The 19,269-nt window shown below is 35.8% G+C and overlaps 1 long non-coding RNA gene across 1 annotated transcript in view, besides 1 other annotated feature; it reads left to right on the top strand.

Moving 5' to 3' along the window:
- Positions 1-17,444, top strand: part of LOC105369677 (uncharacterized) — a 200,713-nt gene extending 183,269 nt beyond the window's left edge. Inside the window, exon 6 of the long non-coding RNA XR_931397.3 lies at positions 17,318-17,444. This is a non-coding gene — a long non-coding RNA (uncharacterized LOC105369677). The remainder of the gene's footprint in view (positions 1-17,317) is intronic.
- Positions 15,977-17,591: an enhancer, noted in NCBI's record as "VISTA enhancer hs661". NCBI's record gives its function as "enhancer in: midbrain (mesencephalon)[8/10]" and the evidence as "EXISTENCE:transgenic organism evidence [ECO:0001131][PMID:17130149]".

Raw genomic sequence — 19,269 nt, 5'->3', positions numbered from 1 at the left:
CCCGCCTCGGCCTCCCAAAGTGCCAGGATTACAAGAGTGAGCCACCGAGCCTTTGCTGTCTTTTTTGAGTGACCTCACTGGCCCTCAGAAAGGGCCTCCGATTCCATTGTTCTTGTAATTACCGCTCCCTTCACTGTCTCAAAATCCGGAGACATTTCACTCACCAGTGAGTCGTCTTTCACTGCTCTCTCATCGGTGTTTTTCAGCAACTGCACTGCTACAGCATGTGTTCTCTCCCCAGTGCTCCACCTCCAACATCTTGTTTTATGGTTTTCTTCCCTAAACAATTCTTCATGCCAACTGTCTTATATTGACTCCCCAGAGAAACAAACTCTGTGTTAAGATTTGCAAAGTGAACTTTTTGGGGGAGCACCTGAAAGAGTAAAGGTAGTAGGATCTTCCTTTAGGAGTACACTCTTGGCCGGTGTGGTGGCTCACGTCTGTAATCTCAGCACTTTGGGGGGCCGAGGCAGGCAGATCACTTGAGGTCAGGAGTTCGAGATCAGCCTGGCCAACATGGCGAAACCCCGTCTCTACTAAAAATACAAAAATTAGACAGGTGTGGTGCGCGTCTGTAATTCCAGCTACTTGGGAGGCTGAGGCACAAGAATCGCTTGAACCCAGGAGGCAGAGGCTGCAGTGAGCTGAGATCGTGCCACTGCACCCCACACTGCATGATAGAGCAAGAATCTGTCTCAATTAAAAAAAAAAGTACAATCTTATTTGCAAAACCTAGTTGGCAAACGACAAGCCTATAGAGAGGGGAGATGAATTGGGAATACTAAAGCAATCTATCACAATGCAGTATCTAGAGTTGGTAAATAAAATTTCTGAAAGAACCAGGGCATAAAATATACTTGATCATAGGGGAATAAAGTATGATGTGTTGCTGGTTCTTGGCAAAACACATCACATTTTTGTCTGTTTCCTTAATCCATTTATTAAATAAGCTATAATATTTCTACTTTTGCTAATTTTAAATTGATCCCAGAGCAGGAGAAGTCTCTGTAACAGATTTAAGCATACAAGCTGACTTCCCATGTAAACCTTATGATCTAGCAGATACCAGTAATGCTCAAGGTTTGGCATTCGATAAAGATGTTATGTGGATCCTCTGGTAAGCCTCGAAAGGAGAATCACAATGCACACTCCTAAGATTCTGGAGTAAAGTCACAGCCTCCTTTTGTTGTTAATGCTGTTCTTCTTAGAAGCAACTTCTGGCCTCTAGTGGACCTTTTTAAAGAGTAATCATGAGATGCCAAGTGATTTGGGCTGTCCAACAAGAATGTTATTAGAGGGTCAAAGAGAGGATGTAGTTTAGATTTCCCTGGGAGAAATTGACAGCAGTTTTCTCTTTATGACAGAGCACTAAGTCATTTTTTAATTGACCCATTTACGCTAAATTATGAAGTTTGTATGAAATGCAAGTGTGGGTAGAAAACTGAGAATCCATCCCGAGTAGTAGAAGAAATGCCTAGTACTGATCCTGGACATACACCTAGGAAGATCTTTCTCACTCTCCCCTCACTGGACTCTGTATCATGGGAAGGCTGACATCTATGGGTTTTATTCCCACGATTCCAAATGAGCTGGCTTCTAGTTAAAGTCAGTCAATGAGCATCCTTGGCTGAATAACGGTGAGTAGAAGGAAAGGAGGAGTCAGGGTTTTCCTCCTTTCTCTCTGCCAGAAGTGTCTCTAGCAGCACCTGCATCTTCTCAGTGGCTCGTGCTCCTGCCAGACAAGCCCACTGTTGAAGCCGTTGCAGGTGAACCTTGTCCCGAGGCTCTAACACCATGTCTTCCCTTTAATGCTTAGTGGTGGCTTCTGTTCCTAATCTGTAGATGGTCTTACCATTTTCTATTTGGCTTTTCATCTCTTCCCTCACTTTTAAATCCATTCATCGCTTTACACTTCTCATGTTGGAATAATTGAGGTGATTTCAGATTTACTGGAGAGATCTCTCAAGGGTAAAATAGCTATTGATAAAGTGTTTTGATACCCAGGAGTGACTTTCACAGTGTAACAAGAGAGGATCCTTATTAGTTGGGAAAGTGTTAACATAAGAAAAACTGATTTAATATTACTTTCATTCTCATAATTTCCTTTTCCAGAAATAAAAGTTTTTCCTAAAGTCTTAGGCAGGGTACAAGATTAAAAGGTAGCATTATGTGGTTATTATAACTTCAATGACTGAAGCAGAAGGTTAAGAACAACACTATAGAGATAGGATTTCTACTTGCAAAAGTAAAAATTTGCTTAATTCAAATGTATTCATTCAATTCAAGCACTTTTGTTTTCTTTTGTTTCTAATGATAAACAAGTTGATAAAAAAGCATTACATTCCTTATTTTTTGACATATAACATAGGCCAAATTATGTATTGACTAATATTCAAAAGGTTATTCTAGATTGCATTGGTACTATGTAGATAAAAAAAAGTATGTAAAACAGCAAAGTACATTATTGCTGTAATGAAGTATCTAATAAAGGAACCACCTTTTCTTGATTTTAGATAAAGATCTATGAGTGTGAGACATGTCTAATTTCACATGTGTTTCTTTCTAAATTAACTAGAAAAGAATTAAAGAGTGAGTATCTTTCTTGCCAAAAATCATCCATTAAGTGGAAGAGCATTTATGGTATTCCATGATTCTACTTGTTTTGGGATCGACAAAGTTTTTGTGTCACTATATTTTTTTCTTTTTACATTTTACTAGATTTTTCAGCCAGTATGGTGTACTGTATGTGTAAAAACACCTTCTTTCTCTATTTTCTATTAGAGTCATGCAGAATGTTAAAACATACATACCTCCCACTAACCTCACAAAGCATCTAGATAGCTGGAAGTAGGGTGCAAAATTCAGAGACAGAGTATAGCAAAGACTGCACCCAAAGAAGAGAAGGAAGTTGCTGAGGCCAGAATTAATTGTAGCTGTTTTACTTCTAACCAAAGCAGGAAATGATTAAAGAAGCTAAGGGAGATGAAAGTACAAAGAGCACTCAACAAATAGCAATATGTCCCTATTATCCATAGAATTAATTGTATCTCATTTATGTACAATTAGCAATTGTAATAAGAATATTTTTAACTTTAAATACATTCTGTTTACTTGTCTTTTAACATTGAATTCTATTTCAGAATTCTACTTATATATTATTTGTATTGTTTTATTTGAATTACCACCAACCAAAATGTTTTTATAAAGATGAAAGTCTACAAAACATAAAGGGTAAAAGTAAAGGGCATACCCCGATTTTGAAATATTCACATTTATTAAAGATAAAGAAACTGAATTTAAAACTAACCTTTAAACATTCTTTCTCCAGACCAAAAAAAAAGTAAAACAAGAAAAATTGTAAGTTTCTTACTACCAGTACAAAGTTTTCTTGACCCTGAGTTAAAAAAAAAATTAAGTAAACAGTAATCAAGATAAGGAATTAGTGCCATGAGGGCAGTTTTTAGGACATGCAGAGACATTCATTCCACAGAGGGCTGTTGTTGTCTTTTATCACTTTTAGATACACACTGTGATGATGTGGTTCAGACATACAGCTTTGTGATGCTAAAGTATAGAAAATACTGAGAAAGAATAACTCTCTTAGGCTTCCTTTTTCATAAATGCTTTGTCTCAGCTAAGACTTAACAATATTGATTTTTCTCATTACAAAATTAATACTTGGGACTTCCAATTCAATATGGTTGATTGGACACTGTTTCTTAAAATTTATTACCTTCCAAAAGTCTAAACTAATAAAAATCTTAAAAATATTAAGGAGGTGCTCAGGGAAAAGACAATAGCAAATGAGAGTGGTCAACAAATTTTTGGAACATAAAAGTAAATATAAGGGTGCTAACTGGCTAAGTAGATAAGAGAATGCTGAAACCTATGTGTATACAGAGAAGAGAGTGGAGAGAAACAAGCCCATTCTCCCTGTAGGATGTTGAAAAATATCAAGTATAACGAAACCCAAGGGCTATAATGGTTTGTAGCCTGAGAACTGGCTGAGAGTTTATATAAGAAGCAGTTGGACTCTTGGGTAGGTCCTAATCACTTTGCACGTATCCAGTCTCCCAAGCATTAATCTCCACCCAGACAGTCAGCCCACCGTTATCCCCCATTCTCCCCAGACATGGAACCAGAGAGTTTCAGGGCCAAGAGAAAAAGTAGTCAGAGTGAGGGGGGCTGATAAAGAAAACAAAGAAACAAAAAAAAAACCAGATGGGCGAATCAATCTTTGAAGTTCTCCAAACAACATTCAGACTCTTGACCTGCTTACCCCAGAGCAGGGGTTCTTGAGGGAGTGGTTGGAAATGGTAGGGTGCCATGATGTTTGGGGGAGCACTGCTGCATTAAATAGGTAAGAGTCTCTGATGCCAGACATTCTCTCATGTACAAAACTCCCTCACAATGAAGAGTTTTTCCACAATGAAGAGTTATTCCATCCCTAAAGACTTTCTGATAGCAAAGTAGACAATAATATAGAAAAAAGAAAAAATAAGTTATATGAATCTAAGAGCGAACTGCATTTTACATATAAACATACAGATTTTGACATATAAAATATATATTTTGACATATCCTTAACATAGACTACATTTTTTAAGATTGCAATTTTTAAATTGAAGCAAGATTGTATATTGTTTGGTTTCGAGTTTAACCAAGAGTTTTTCGCCATTTCATAAAATCACATCACATGAACAATGCTACATTGCCTCTCCTGGGTATATACCCAAATGAAATGAAATCACCACTTTGTAAAGATATTTGCGCTTCCATGTTTATTGCATTATTATTCACAATAGCCAAGCTATGAAAACAACCTAGGTTGTTTTTATTTAACATAATGAATATCAATAGGCAAATGAATAAAGAAACTGTGGTGTTTATTCATATAGTGAAATATTATTCAGCCTTTAAAAAAGAGGTGATCCTGCCATTTATCACAACAAGATTGACAATTTATGCTAAATAAAATAAACCAGACCTGGAAAGAAAAATACTGCATGATCTCATTTATGTGTGGAACCGAAACAAACAAATAAAAAAAGGTCAAGTATACAGAGATAGAGAATAAAACAGTGGTTAGTAGGGTCAAAGACGGCGGGCAGGAAATAGGAAGATGTAGGTCAAAGGATGTAAAGTAAGTAGCAAATATGCAGGATGAACAAGTCTAGAGATCCAATGTACAACATGATAGAATGTAGGTAATAAAATTGTAGTGTATATGGGATTCATACTAAATGAGTAGATTTTAGCTGCTTTTGCCAGAAAAAAAAAAAAGAAATGGCTAACTATGCGAGATAATTGATATGTTAAATTGTTTCACTATAGGAATCATTTTGCCATCTGTATGTATCCCATAACATCATATTGAACACCATAAATATACACAGTAAGATTTATTTTTAAAAAACAGCAATGCTAATCAAGATATTTAAGATGTCATTATTAACCATCAGCACACCTATATCAGCCTATATTTATAGCTGCCACCCGCACAGAGATTCTGCATGCATATGCAAGCATCTATTTCATTATAGCCACAGTAAAGCATAAAGTAGTTATGCCTGATGATTTACAAATTGAAATCATATTATTTTATTATAAGTCACTTTTTGCTTATTTCCTTTTTACATTACAACTGTGGCATGATATTGTTGTTGGTGAAATTATATGTGTTGGTATGTTAAGAGTATGCTATGATTAACATCTCAGGGTAATAAATACAGATTTATAAAATATTGGCCTTTTTTTAAAAAAAAATTGAGCATTATGTTTAAATGGGATTGAGAACCACTGCCCCAGAATGAACTCACTCCTTGAAAATTCTTTCTCTAAACACAGTGTTCAATTACTATTTTATTCTAAAATGTGGGCTGTCAGGCAACTGCTATCAAATTTGAGAAGTCTCTAATGAAAAAGAGAGACCGAAACAAAACCAACAAAAGCCTTTAAAAAAATAGTGGAGAGAAAAATAAAACAAAAGAAAATGAAGACTAGATAACTTTTTTAGAAGGGCATGTGTCCACGCACATGTGATCGTACAAACAGGTTCAGATCCTAAACTGTGTGGTCTGGAGATCCTAGGGAGTCCCTGAGGCCTTTTCAGGGAGCCTGCAAGGTCAAAACTATTTTCATAATAATACTAAGATATTCTTTTCTTATTCACTCTCATACTCTCCTGGGTGTACAGAGGAGTTTTTCAGAGGCAACACAATATGTGATAACACAACAAATTGAATACAGAAGTAGCTATGAGAATCCAGCCCTTTTCTGTTAAGCCAGATATTCAAGAGATTTGCAAAAATATATATATTCAAAAAGCTACTCTTCTCATGATATTCTTTTTGTATTAGAAAATATAGTTAGATTATAGAAGTAATATTTATGTTAGCATGTAATGGGTTTGTTATGTTTAAATGAATAACTATTTTACATACTGCTCAGCTTTAATTTCTAATATATTAAATATAAATATATATAACCTACATAAATAAAAGCTCTTTGAAATCCTTAAGAATTTTTGGTATTTGGGTTCTTAAGACCAAAATATTTGAGGACCATTGATATATAGCATATAAAGTATATATCATTCATATGTATCTATACCCATAATATATGTATAGATTTGTGTACATATATACAATGCATACACACATATCTATTTACAATTTTAAAAAAAGTTATTTCAAACATGAAATAAAAACAGAATATCATAATAGAGAAACAACCAGAGATAAATATGTATATTTCTTGTATATTCAAGATAAAGTAACTAAAAAAAATTCTTTTTAAAAAGTGAGAGTTGAAAACCATGATTAAACTTCTCATAATAAATAGAAAAGATGAAGTGATGGAATACATGAGGGGTGAGATAAGGAAATTAGAGAATAAGTCCAGAGGTTCCAAGTATCCAGTAATGAAAATTTCAGAAAGAAAATGCAGACCAAGAATTCAAAGATCCATACGTAAGATTCAAATAACCAAAGGACACAAGTAGCCAGATCAAGTGCCAAACACAATAAATGAAAAAATATCACCCATATGCATTATCATTCAGGCTCACACATTGAGAATAAAAAGATCCTAAATCTTCCAGAAGGAAAAAATGTGAAAGATCAGAAATAAAAGTGGCAATATTTGAAACTAGAACAAAATGGAGAAATAGCATAACCTTTGGATTGAATATGGTTTCATGCTGGAATTGTGTATTCAAACTGTCAATCAACTGTTTAGATAAAATAATGACATTTTTACACAGGCAGTATTACCAAAATTTCACCTTGTGTACCTATTTCTAAGTAATATTCTGGAGGAACAGGTAGCAAACCCAGAAACAGGAAGGTAATGAATTTAGAAAATCAAGGAATCACCTCAGGAGTGGCACACACTTCCAGGGTCTGCAGCAGGCTGGGCAGAAACCTGGTCAGAGAAACCAGGACATGGAGCTCCAGGAAACTGCCTCAAGGAAAAGTAATTCAACCTGTGAACTTTCTGTAACCAGGTGCAAAATCGTACTGAGAAGATATTTGCAGGGTGGGAAGAATATTGTCTTCTATAGAAAATTAAACACATTTAGAAATGAGAAAATAATTAGCCAAAGAAGGAAAGGTTGAAATGAAAGAGAAAGCAATCATAATACAGCACTCTCAACTTATGGGGACTGTAATTTAACAAAAAAGGAGTATACCCTTTCAAGTCTATTTCAGCCAAAGTCTTGTAAACTTTCTGGACAATAGAAATGCGGACAAGGTCTATAGACAGAAATAAGAGCAGCTAACGTGAATGCCTGGAGACCTAGATTCAAACATGTACCAATCTGTGTGTATGAATTTCAGAATATTTTAAGTGAAAGTAGCAAGGTATAATTTCATATTTATGAAATTAAAATAAAATTTTACATACTCTTTTATAGTATAATAATGATGATACTTCATACTTTTAATCAGACAATCTGAAGCACTTTATAAACATTAGCAAATTAAGTCTCACAATACCCCATGCAGTAGTTAAGAATAATCATTCATTATATACTCAATAGTTAAAATGAGACATCAAGAGATTAAGTGATTTATTTCAAGATCATACATTCCCTGAGTTCTAGAGAGAATATTCAGCTACAATTTTCCCTCTTTTGCTATAGCTCTTAATATTCTCTTGCCATTTGTATCATTATAGAGAATATGCTGTGCTCTCTATTTAGTGTAATTATCTAGGTGCAAGGTCACCTGCTCATCTTATTGCTTTATTTGTGAAGTTTCCATATCTCCCCATTGGTAGGATACAAATTAAACACACTTCTTACCAATTTCTCCTCTAGAGTAGTTTTCAGTGTATTTCTTAATATAAGTTTTTCCCACATAAGCATATTACCAGGATAGAAATCTATATTTAACAATTTCTGCTTTGGAAAATCCATTCAACATTTATTAACCAAATATTTATTAAGTGATTTTCTATGCCAAGCCCAGCAGACTGGATTCTTACCATCACAGGTCTTAGTGTCTACTAGGAAAGAAAGAATATTTTTAAAAGCAATTATAGTCAAGTCAGCCAAGAGCTACGAAGAGGTAGTATAATACCAAACAACTAGGAACACTGTACCTAGATTAGAAGTTACTTCAGAATAGTCTTCCTAAAGCAAATGACTTCAAAGCTGAGGTCTGAAAGATGAATAAAAATTAGCCAAGCCAAAGCAGACAAGAGAGCTCCAGTTAGAAGGGAATACTCACGTAGCAGCCCAGAGATGAAACAGCCTGCTGTGTTCAAGAAGTTGAAAGATACTCAGAGCAACTGGAAACAGAATGAACATGAGAAGTGGGTGGAAACAAGGCTGTAGAAATGGAGATAACAGCATGTTAAGACATGTTAAGGAATTTAGATTTTTCTAAAAGCAATGGGCACCTCTGAATGATTTTAGGCAAGAGGTCATGTTTGTGTTATGAAGTACCATTCTGGCTGCTGTGTGGGTACAATGGGTTAGAAATGTGCATACTGGTGGCAATTAAGCGCCCCCACTGTGCTCTGGGCTAGAAATAATGGCAGCCTTTACTTCTGTGAAAGAGAGTAAAATGACAGTGGAGAAAAAGAAAATATATTCAAGAGATATAAAGAAATTGAATCAAGAGTGATTGATTAAATATGAGAATAAAAGAGAAAAGAGAGGCTCAGAAAACTTTCAATTATTCCCAACAGAATAAAAGACTACAGAAGAAAAGAGAAGCTTCTATCTTTGACTATGAAACAAAAGTTAGTTCTGTGAAGTTCAGAAAACAGGAAGAAATTGAAATGCTACATAAAAACACTAAAGATGAAAGAGGGGTATTGGAGTTAAATATTTAAGGATTTGACATTGTTTGTGGGGAGAATAGAATGGGAATGAATGATTTTGGACTTAAATATACATGTTAAAATGTAAGGAGAAGCATTAAAATAATTGAAACATAATGATTAACTTTCAAACCACAACTGATAAATATGTAATCAAAATTGTTAATTTTTCTTACACCGTAATCAATGAATAGAGACTATACAATTTTTTTCAAGTCTACTTAGGACATTCATAAAAATTGGCCATCTGCTATGTAAACTCAACAGGATACTCACAATGAATTCAAAGAGAGAGCAGAGTAAGCTCAACGTTGAAGAAAGAGAGCATAACATTTCAGATAAAAAAATTCAAAAAGTAAAAAATGCCAAATAAAAACCAACAAAATAATTATTAAAACTAAAGATGTTTCTTTGAATGTTAGTAAAATATGTATTTTTAAAAATGCTAGTAAAACTGATTCAGAAAAAGGGAGAAAAGTCGCATTAACGATAATTGTGTATATACCTCTATACTTCGCTTTGCTTTAAGAAAGATGAAGTCCTTTGGAATTCTTTTGTGATGTGGCTTTGAAGTTGTTTTGTATAGTTTTGGCTGTCCTCAGACAAGGTTAAGGAGAGTGTCTCTGTAGTGTTTATATTCTTATCACAGGAAGCAAAATATTGGTTCACCTTACCTCTCAATCCACAACCCATCGTTCAACAGATACAGGAAATAATCAGGTTTATATGGTAGAAATACAAATGAACTATACTACCACTGTCTGGGTCACCAGGAAGAAATGAATGTCTTTAAAAAAAAAAAAAAAACTGACACAAAGGGTTAAGAAACCTGAGCAGTATCCCAGATTATAAAGGCGTGCCACAACATACGAGAGTGTTCTGATTACATTACCCTTTCTTGCACAAACCTCAATTCCTTCCCTTCTCATGAAACACTGCATAGAGGAAAGAGTATCATTGTTCAGACACCCACATGAACTGCTTTAGTTTCTCTCACCTTTTCCAAAGTTACAGGCAAAAACCCATAGTACTTCTATAGTACTATAGTACATTGCGTTTTTTTGTTGTTATCTTCCCAACTTTCTATTTTTCTACTTCTAAGAATTTGTAACACAGATGCTGAGAAAGAAGGATAAAACTCAACCGGGATATGTGAGGTGATATTAGAGCAGGGGTCAGCAACGTTTTCTGGAAAAAAAACTCGTTTGTAAATACCTTAGTCTTTGCATGTCACATAGCCTTTATTGTAACTACTCAACTCTGCCACTGTAGTGCAAAAGCAGCTTTGGACAATATGTAAACAAATTGGTGTGGCTGTGTTCCAATAAAATTTTATTTACGAAAACAGGTGGTGGGACAGATTTGGCCCAGAGGCCCTAGTTTGCCCGCTCCTGTATTAGAGGCGTCTCAAAAGTCCTCTGGTTTTTAGAAAACAAAAATACCTTTTTCTTCTGAATTTCTGAGATCAACATTTCCTTTATCAAAGACAAAAGTTTTATTTCAAAACCGTGGATAATATTTGAATTGCTAACACTCACAGTAAGGTATGTGTGACTAATAGCCAAATTTTTCCTGAAAGAAGGCTTCTGTATTCAAGAGGACTGTACCCTTAAGCTGGGAGAAGGGACTGCTAAATGGTGCAGCACCACTCAGATAGGGGAGGTTCAAGAGCCCTGAAGTCCAAGTAGTGAATACTTAGACCAAAACTCATGTAAGTGATGCATGATGGACAAAGGATCTTATCAAAATAAGATCTAAGGGCCAAGTAATTTCTAATTGCAACCTCCTATCTTTTCAGCTTACTCTCATGAGTAACCACTTCTTAGGAACCTTCCTAAGAAGTGAGGAAGCCTCACTGAGATGTTCAGCTGGTGGAACACAAGTTTTCACTGCATATTACCCTGTCTGCTCCTCACTTCCCTGCTATCTGTTTAAATAACTTGGTTTAACATAATCATCATTACTTTGCATATAACTTTCTCTCCCTTGCCTCCTTCTCTTTACATGTGTTCAACTGGCTAATCCGCTGAGTTAAATCTAACTCCTAACCTATTCTGTGTCTTTATCTAAGCTCCCAATTCTAACGAATCTCACTTTAAATTTTCAACTGCAAACTTTGAATGGGTTCCCTATCCTGCCCAGTATTCTCCATATTCTTCAGTCAGCTTTTTCTCCTTTCTCTGAGATGCGTTTTTCTTTGTATTTACACCTCTAACACCCTGTATTAGTTTTTCTATGGTTATGTAACAAATTACCACAACCCTAGAGGCTTAAAACAACACATGTTTATTATCTCACAGTTTTTGTAGTCAAAAATTCAGGTATGGCCTGGCTGAATTCTCTGGTCAGGATCTTACTGAACTGATATGAGGGTGTTGGCCAGGGCTGCGGTTCTCATCTGAAACTGAGGGCATCTTTCAAGGTCACTGGTGTTGGCAGAATTCATTTCCTTGCAGATGTAGGATGGAGGTCCACATTTCAGCGCTGTCTCTTGGCCAGGGACCACTTTCAGCTCCTAGAGGCCATACACAGTGCCTTACCATGTGGCCACCATAGGCAGCTCATGACATGAATGTTTATTTTCTTAGAGATCAGCTAAAATACATCACTCTAATTTTCTCTTCTGTGACAAAATGGGGAGGAAAAAAAATTCTGCTTGTAAAGAGCTAACTACATTAGGTCAAGGTCCACTCCAGACAATCTCCTTTTTGCCCTGTAACAACAGAGTGACAGGAGTGGTATCTCCTCATATTACTGGTTCCACCCATGCTCAAAGAGGAGAGTATTATGCAAGGGTAAGCGTCACTGGGTATCATCTTAGAATTCTGTCTACCGCATACCTCTTCCTCACTCTTAGCTGATGATTTTACTCCTTAATTCTTTAATTAAAAAAATAAGCACTATGAAGGAAGGAAACTTTATTGTTTTACTAGCGAGTCTACCAACGTACCTTCATTTAACCCCCTCTGTACTTTGCCTTCAGACCTGTAGCTATGGCTGAATTGCTCATTAAGCCCATCTCCTGTTTATTGGATCTTATTCCAGTTTACCTACTCAAAATTTCAGTTATTCTATAATAATTGTCTCTGTTTTCTTCTGTGTCATCTCTTTTATTCCCTCCTTGAATTAAATGATTTCTATCTACATATAAACAGTCAATAATAGAACCATCTAAAACAAAATAGAACCATCTAAAACAAAACTCTTTTTGTGGATTCACATCCCCTTCCAAGCATGAGCCCATTTCTCCACTGCCCATTAGAGCAAAAATCACTATTCTTAATTATCTTAACTTACTCACCTACCCTTTTCTCTACAGTTTACTTGAATTAGGTTCTTTCAACACTTTTAATGAAGGCAATAACAAAATCCATTTGCCAAATAATCCATCCTCAGCATTCATCTTACATGAACTCAGTAGAATTTGTCACAGTGGATCACTTCCTTCTTCTTGAAACATTTTCACCTCCTGGGTTTCTGAACCCTATTTGTCTTGGCTTTCCTCAATGTGGTTTCTTCAGTATCCTTTGTGAATCTTCCTTCTTGTCCAGATCTCTAAATACTACAGTACTCCTCATGTATCAGTTATATGTTGCTACAATAATGCTCATTGAATACCATTCTAAAACTCAGACTCAATAATCAATAAACAGTTATATCTCACTTACCTGTAGGGTTTAGTTGATCTCTAAGACTGCACTCAGCTGGGCTCACTCATGCACCTGTGGGTTGACCTTGTATCTACCTTCCCCCTTCTGGGATCAGAGGGGCTAGCCCAGGCATATCTTCTCATGGTAAGGGCAGAGTATAAGGAGCATGAGCAGAAATGTACAACCCTCTGCTTGCATAACTTGGCAATGTCAAAGCAAGTTGCAACTCTAAGCTCAGAGTTAGGATGGAAGGGTCCCACAAAATACATGGTGAAGATTGTGTATAGGAGAAGGGATGATGATCTGAGATCTTTAATGCAACCAATCAGTTACAGTGAGGCTCACTCTTTGTGTCTCTTTTTCTTCTTTGCCTATACTAACCATTTAGGTGATTTCATCTAATCCCATTCCCTTAAGTATCAACTCAACTGTTGACTTCCAATATAAATTTAAATCTCCATCTCTGAGCTCTACTCTCAACTCCAGACTAACTTATCTAATATTTACTTGACAGCTCACTCCAATTGCACATCTGTCTAATAGATACCTATATCTAAAATGTATGTCCAAAACAAACACTTGATTTTTCTTCCTTAACTTGCCCCTACTTCATTGTTCTCCATCTGTATTTGTAATATCATCTTTAACTACTTGCTCAGGCTAAAAAATGTGGAGTTATTCCTGACTTCTCCCTCTAATGTATTTACAAGCAATCTACGAACAAACCTTTTGGCTCTGCTTTCAAAATGTATCCCTTATCTGATTATTTCTTACCAGCTCCACTGCAACCACATATCCCAAGCCCCTTCTTGTCTCATCTAATGACAGTCATGCCTATCCAAGCTGCTTCCACTCTTGTCCCACTACAGATTTTCTTCCACATATAAATCAATATGTTTTTGAAACACAAAATATATACAACCTCAAGTGGTAACCTTTCATTCACACCCAGAATAAATGGCAAAGTCCAGAAAGGCCTAGAAAAACCCTTTGCAATCTGGGCTTGGCCTAACTTTCCAAAATTATATCTGATCCTTCTTTCTCTTACTAATTCCATTTTATCTACAATAATATCCTTATTTCTTTTCTAAATCAGTAAAAATATACTTGAACCTTATCGTCTTTGATTAGAACTCTTCTTTGAGATAAACACATGAGCTCTTCCCTGCCTTCACTGATATTTCTATTTAAATGCCATCTCCACAGACAGATCTTTCCTGTCTATGCCATCCTAACTAGAAATGCCTTTATTCTCCATTCTTTTATTTTGCTTTGTATTTATCTATAGATCTATAGTGAGGTAATGTAGGTACTACTACCTCATAGAATGCTGCTTATTTGTATATTTAATGTCTATGTCCTATAATAGAATGAAGGCCTCATAATAGCAGCCACTTCTGTTTTATTCACTGCTATATTCCCTACAAACAGAACAGTCTTTGATACCTGAAGAGTACTCAAAAAATATTTATTGAATTTTGAATGCTAAATAATTTAGATAACATCGAACTAATGATCCTTTTCAATCTGCAGGGCATCTCTACAACCTTTCTAAACCCTCTTATTTACACTATTGATCATGTTGGTTGTAACAATAATATGTAATTATTAAAGATTAATTACAAACCATAATTAAGGGATAATGCACTTATAAACATTCTACTATAAAGACATTTCTATATATTTCTAATGAAATTGCTGGGTTATAAGACGTGTGCATTCTCAGTTTTAGGACAATGCAAATTGCTTTCCAAGTGATCAACAAAGGAGTAGATACATGAAGTTTATCCATGCACAGGAACGTTGTTCAGTGTGAGAGTATATGCATTAATGCTATCTGCAGCAACGTAGATGAGTCTTGGAAAAGTTATGTTAGGTGAAATAAAGCAATCTTCTAAAGGCTATCTATAGCCAGTATTCATTATAATATGTTAATTTAGTTAACAAAACTAAGTAATCTCTTTCAGTGGTACACACATGTGTGATAAAGAATGATAAATATAAAATCCAGGGTAGTGTCTAACTAGTTGAGCTGGGGTAGAAAGCAGGGCAATGGGATGAGTGATGTACAGATAACTTCAATGCTATCAGCCATGTTTAGCTCCTAAGCTTTGTGGTGGATTAATGAGGGATTATTTTCTGCTTTATCACATATATATGTTAATCCTACTCTTTTACATATAGCAAGTATAGCATAATAGGTTAAAAATATATAACTTATCATCATTGAGTATAGAATTGTGCTAACCTGTCCACATTTAGTTTGTTATCAGCTTTTACAACCAATTAATGAATTTAAAAAAAATTAAAAAAGGAAAAAATCAAAGTGAAGGCAGAAGAACCAGATGTGAGAAGACCTACTCAATCATGCTTCACTTTTCCAAACCAAACTTCCATAGAAAAAATTTTGATATTAGGTGCAATGCCATCACAGGGCACAAAACAGGAAGATTTATTTGTAGGATTGTAAAATATGAGCCATATATATAAGAATGAAAGCTTCAGAAAAGTCATTGAACAATAAACTGTTCATATTCTCATCTCTTCTTCTTGTTCAAAGCTAAAAGATAGATACTATGTTTTGAAATATTTGCCATATATGGCCAGTAGCTGATATTATGTCTTCTGAAGCCATCAGAAAGCAGGGCAGGTTTTTATACAATTCATGTATACATGGAAGAATGAGTTCTCTGGTATCTTTAGCTCTCTTCTGGTCAAAAAAGTTCTGTGATTTGGAAAGTCCCAGGGCCACAGCAGCTTAAAATTAACCTGGTTTTGGGTTTGTGGGTGCTGACCAGCACCGAAAGTGCTGAAATGATAGAGAAAGCCTGATTTGACTACATTTCTTCAGCATTGTGGAGGAAAGGTCCTTGACAGTCCATGAAAAGACTTTCTATTATTATTATTTTATTACTATTCTTAGTCTCATTTCTCAGCATCAAAAATTTAGCTTAAGAAAGTCTTCAGATCTTGTAGAATGGCACCTGATTTGCATCTCGATTCAGTGCCACCAGCGCACGCTACGTTTCAGCACCGTCAGGCTCAGAAGCGGCTCTGCTATCTAAGCCATTTTTACATGTCCCTTGGCAGTGATTACGGAACCACACATACAGTACAGTGTAAATTAAACTAAGTGAAAAATTAACTTCCTGAAGAAAAACCACATGCTGTCCTCCTCCAAAATATGTGTTCGCCCTGACCTTTTGGAGGCATCAAGACGTCCCAGCCCTTTAACTTCATGAAAATCTCTTCAGATAGCTTACTCCGAGGGCAGATTTATGTCTGGAAAATTTGGAGTTGCTTACCAAAAGGATGAGAGTCATTTATTTTCCTGTTACTGGTCTGCCACATGAATGAGATAACATCAGCTAAAATATTCAGCAGAAGCTATTCCTGGTTTTTTCCCTTTCCCTCTTTGAGACCAGTTACCTATTTAACTCCATCCTGTCAATTAAACCAGAGAAAAAACGCAAAGAACTAATTAGGGAACTGTGTAATTTTAATTAGCTGTTTTGATAATTAAACTAATTAGTTCCCCTGTGTTTCCACAATATGTGGTGGACTGGTTTTGATATCACAGCTTCAGAGTTCCATTCCATTAGTTAATTAGTCACTTTTGCATTAGAAAGCTTTATTAATGGCCTTAATTTGCAGTTGAAATGAGAAATCTGCTGTCAATAATTTGGATAATTGCCTACTGTTTGATTATAAAGTACAAAAGTAGCAGCACACCATTACATATGCAAATCCCAAGGGTTATTTCCTGGATGCTTAGCTTTCTTGATCTACATTTCATCCTCTCTCGCTTTCTGTTTTTTCTTGACCCTGTTAGGGGGAAGAGAATCCAGCTTATTAAGAAAATGAAGGCCTGTTTTTTTCTTCCCCTTGTCCTGTACTGCATGTATGCTTGTGCCTGCAATTGTTAAAGTTATTGCTTGCTTTGTACCTAATTAGTGTCCTTGGAATTAAATGAACAGCTCTGTATACACCTCTAGCTCCTGCAGCCATGTTTGTGCATTGAATAATTGATTCTACTCTGCTAATCAGATAGGGACATAATGAGCCAGTTTAATTAAATGGGGATCTAACCTGGTGAACACTGGGAAAATATTTGCTCATTTACTTAGTAAAAGGCCACAGTTGCTTTTCATTGGATAGAAAGGAAGGTTATGGAAAGTAAAGTAGGCTCTCCAAGCAGAAACAGTTCACTGGTTGTCTACCACTACTTGAATAGCAAAAAGCTTTAGTTAGTTTGGGAGTGGGGGTGGGAAGAGTTTAATCAAAGGGCCAGAAGACGCTGAAACTGCTGACAGGTTCCCCATCTTCTCCCAAAGGTGTCAGCATCACTGCTCTGCTATCCTTTAAGAGGCAGATTTCCTGGTCGTACATGGTCTTTAGTGATTTGCAGGAAGAATTTCAACTCACTTCACTGCCAGTTGGTGCCCGTGTAACTGCATAAAGGTAAGATACAGTTGTAGTTTATCTTCTTGGCAAGTGACGGGACTTACTTGTTTGTTCTCCAAGGATCATGTGGACTTATGTTGAGGATTACTGCTAGAAACTAGAAACCAAATATCTAACTTGTGCAACCTTATTCCTGTGCTGTGAAAATAGACCAAGGCATGGGAGGAGTTATACAAATGTAAAGTTCTCTGAATTTTAAAAAGCTAACTTAGGACTTCAGGAATAACAGCTGATCATTTTCAAACTGCAAACTGACTGGAGGAATAATTGTGCTTTCACACAGGTGAAATCTTTGAAATGGGAAGATGATTATGTCTTTAAATGTAAAAGATTACCCACATCTTCAATGACAGCTTAAGTGAAACACACCGCATTCAATATAATCTGGAAAACCCAGCTCTAGTTCACTGCAGATGCGTACCATCTCCTGTAATTCTAATTGCACATCAGACTAAGTTTACCTGCAGGGATCAAGAAGTATGGCAAGGCCAATATAGCAACAACATGGTGCTCATCTGCTCTGGTGTACTAGGATGAAATAGCGTATTGACCCTGAATCTATACTCTGAGTAAAAGCAATTGTCATTCTGCCACTGTAACACCTTGTTGCCAGTGGCGATGTAATTAAAGCTGTGAGGACTCATTTTCCATTCTTATCTCTTAAGCTTCTCTGAATCAGAAACTGTTTGTCTGTGGTAACTGAGAAAACCTACTACAAGGCTACATGTTTATGTATGAATTTTTGGTAGCTTTTCCTTTTTTAGGGGCTGAAGTTATATGCATAATTACCTACATTCATCCAAATAATGTGTATATACAAATGTTGATGTGTATGTGTCTATACGCATATGCATGTGTATACTGTGTGTATATTTATATTTATGCACACAACCTCACAGATACAGATATATATATAAATACACACACACACACGCACAGAGTCTAAATTTTACTCACCCCCTTTTCTCCTCTATTAAAATTCCAAATGGCTAAGAGGATTTTCTCAATTTAGTCATACTTTTAATCTTCACTGAAATGAGTGATGACTTCTTATAATAAAAAGTTGACAGGCTTACATTGCGCACCGGTGGATTAGTTTCCCTTGGTGATGAGGTTTTCTTTTGTGCGCCGTGTGTCTGTTTGATGGAGGTTTAACAGAAAGCATTTTGGCAGAAATTGGATGCAGCAGGGATCATCTGGAGATGGCTGCTGTTCGATATTAACTGCACACAGCAACTTTTTTCTTCTTCCCTTTTTTTTTTTTTTTATTCTTCAGCCAGGTGACAGAGAGTGCCAAAACATTTTTCCTCTTGAAAGTAAATTTTTTTTTCTTTTTAAGAATAAAGTATATGCCCATTCTGCAAACACCTCAAAAATTTAATGTGCTTAGGCCGTTGTTTAATGTAAGCATGGTAAAAAGCTTTCTCTGCAAAGAGGTATTAATGCACAATTATCTGAAAGGTGTATTTCTAATAATCAAATACCTTTGATCATTCAGAAATTAGCACATAAACAGGAGTTGGTTCAATATTAGAATTAGATGTTTTACAGCAGATACATACTTGACACTTGCCTAAATTCAAAGAAAGAGGCTCGTGGGCCATGATTTGCATTATTTACTCGCCATCTTCACCCTCTTCTTGTAATTCCATTTTATTACTCATTGGAAGCCTTAAAAGTCTCATAATAGAGACTTGCCAGATGTCAAATGTGGTGGAACATGCTCCAAGCATATGTATATATTTCTACTTGTGAATATATGCACACAGAGCAAATAAATAACTGAAAAGACACATCTCATTCCACAGGAAAGCTCTGGCCA

The sequence above is a fragment of the Homo sapiens genome, chromosome 12 (assembly GCF_000001405.40).
Source record: "Homo sapiens chromosome 12, GRCh38.p14 Primary Assembly".
NCBI lineage: Eukaryota > Metazoa > Chordata > Mammalia > Primates > Hominidae > Homo > Homo sapiens.
Note: the sequence above shows the minus strand (reverse complement) of the source record. Positions and strands in the feature narration are given on the sequence as shown.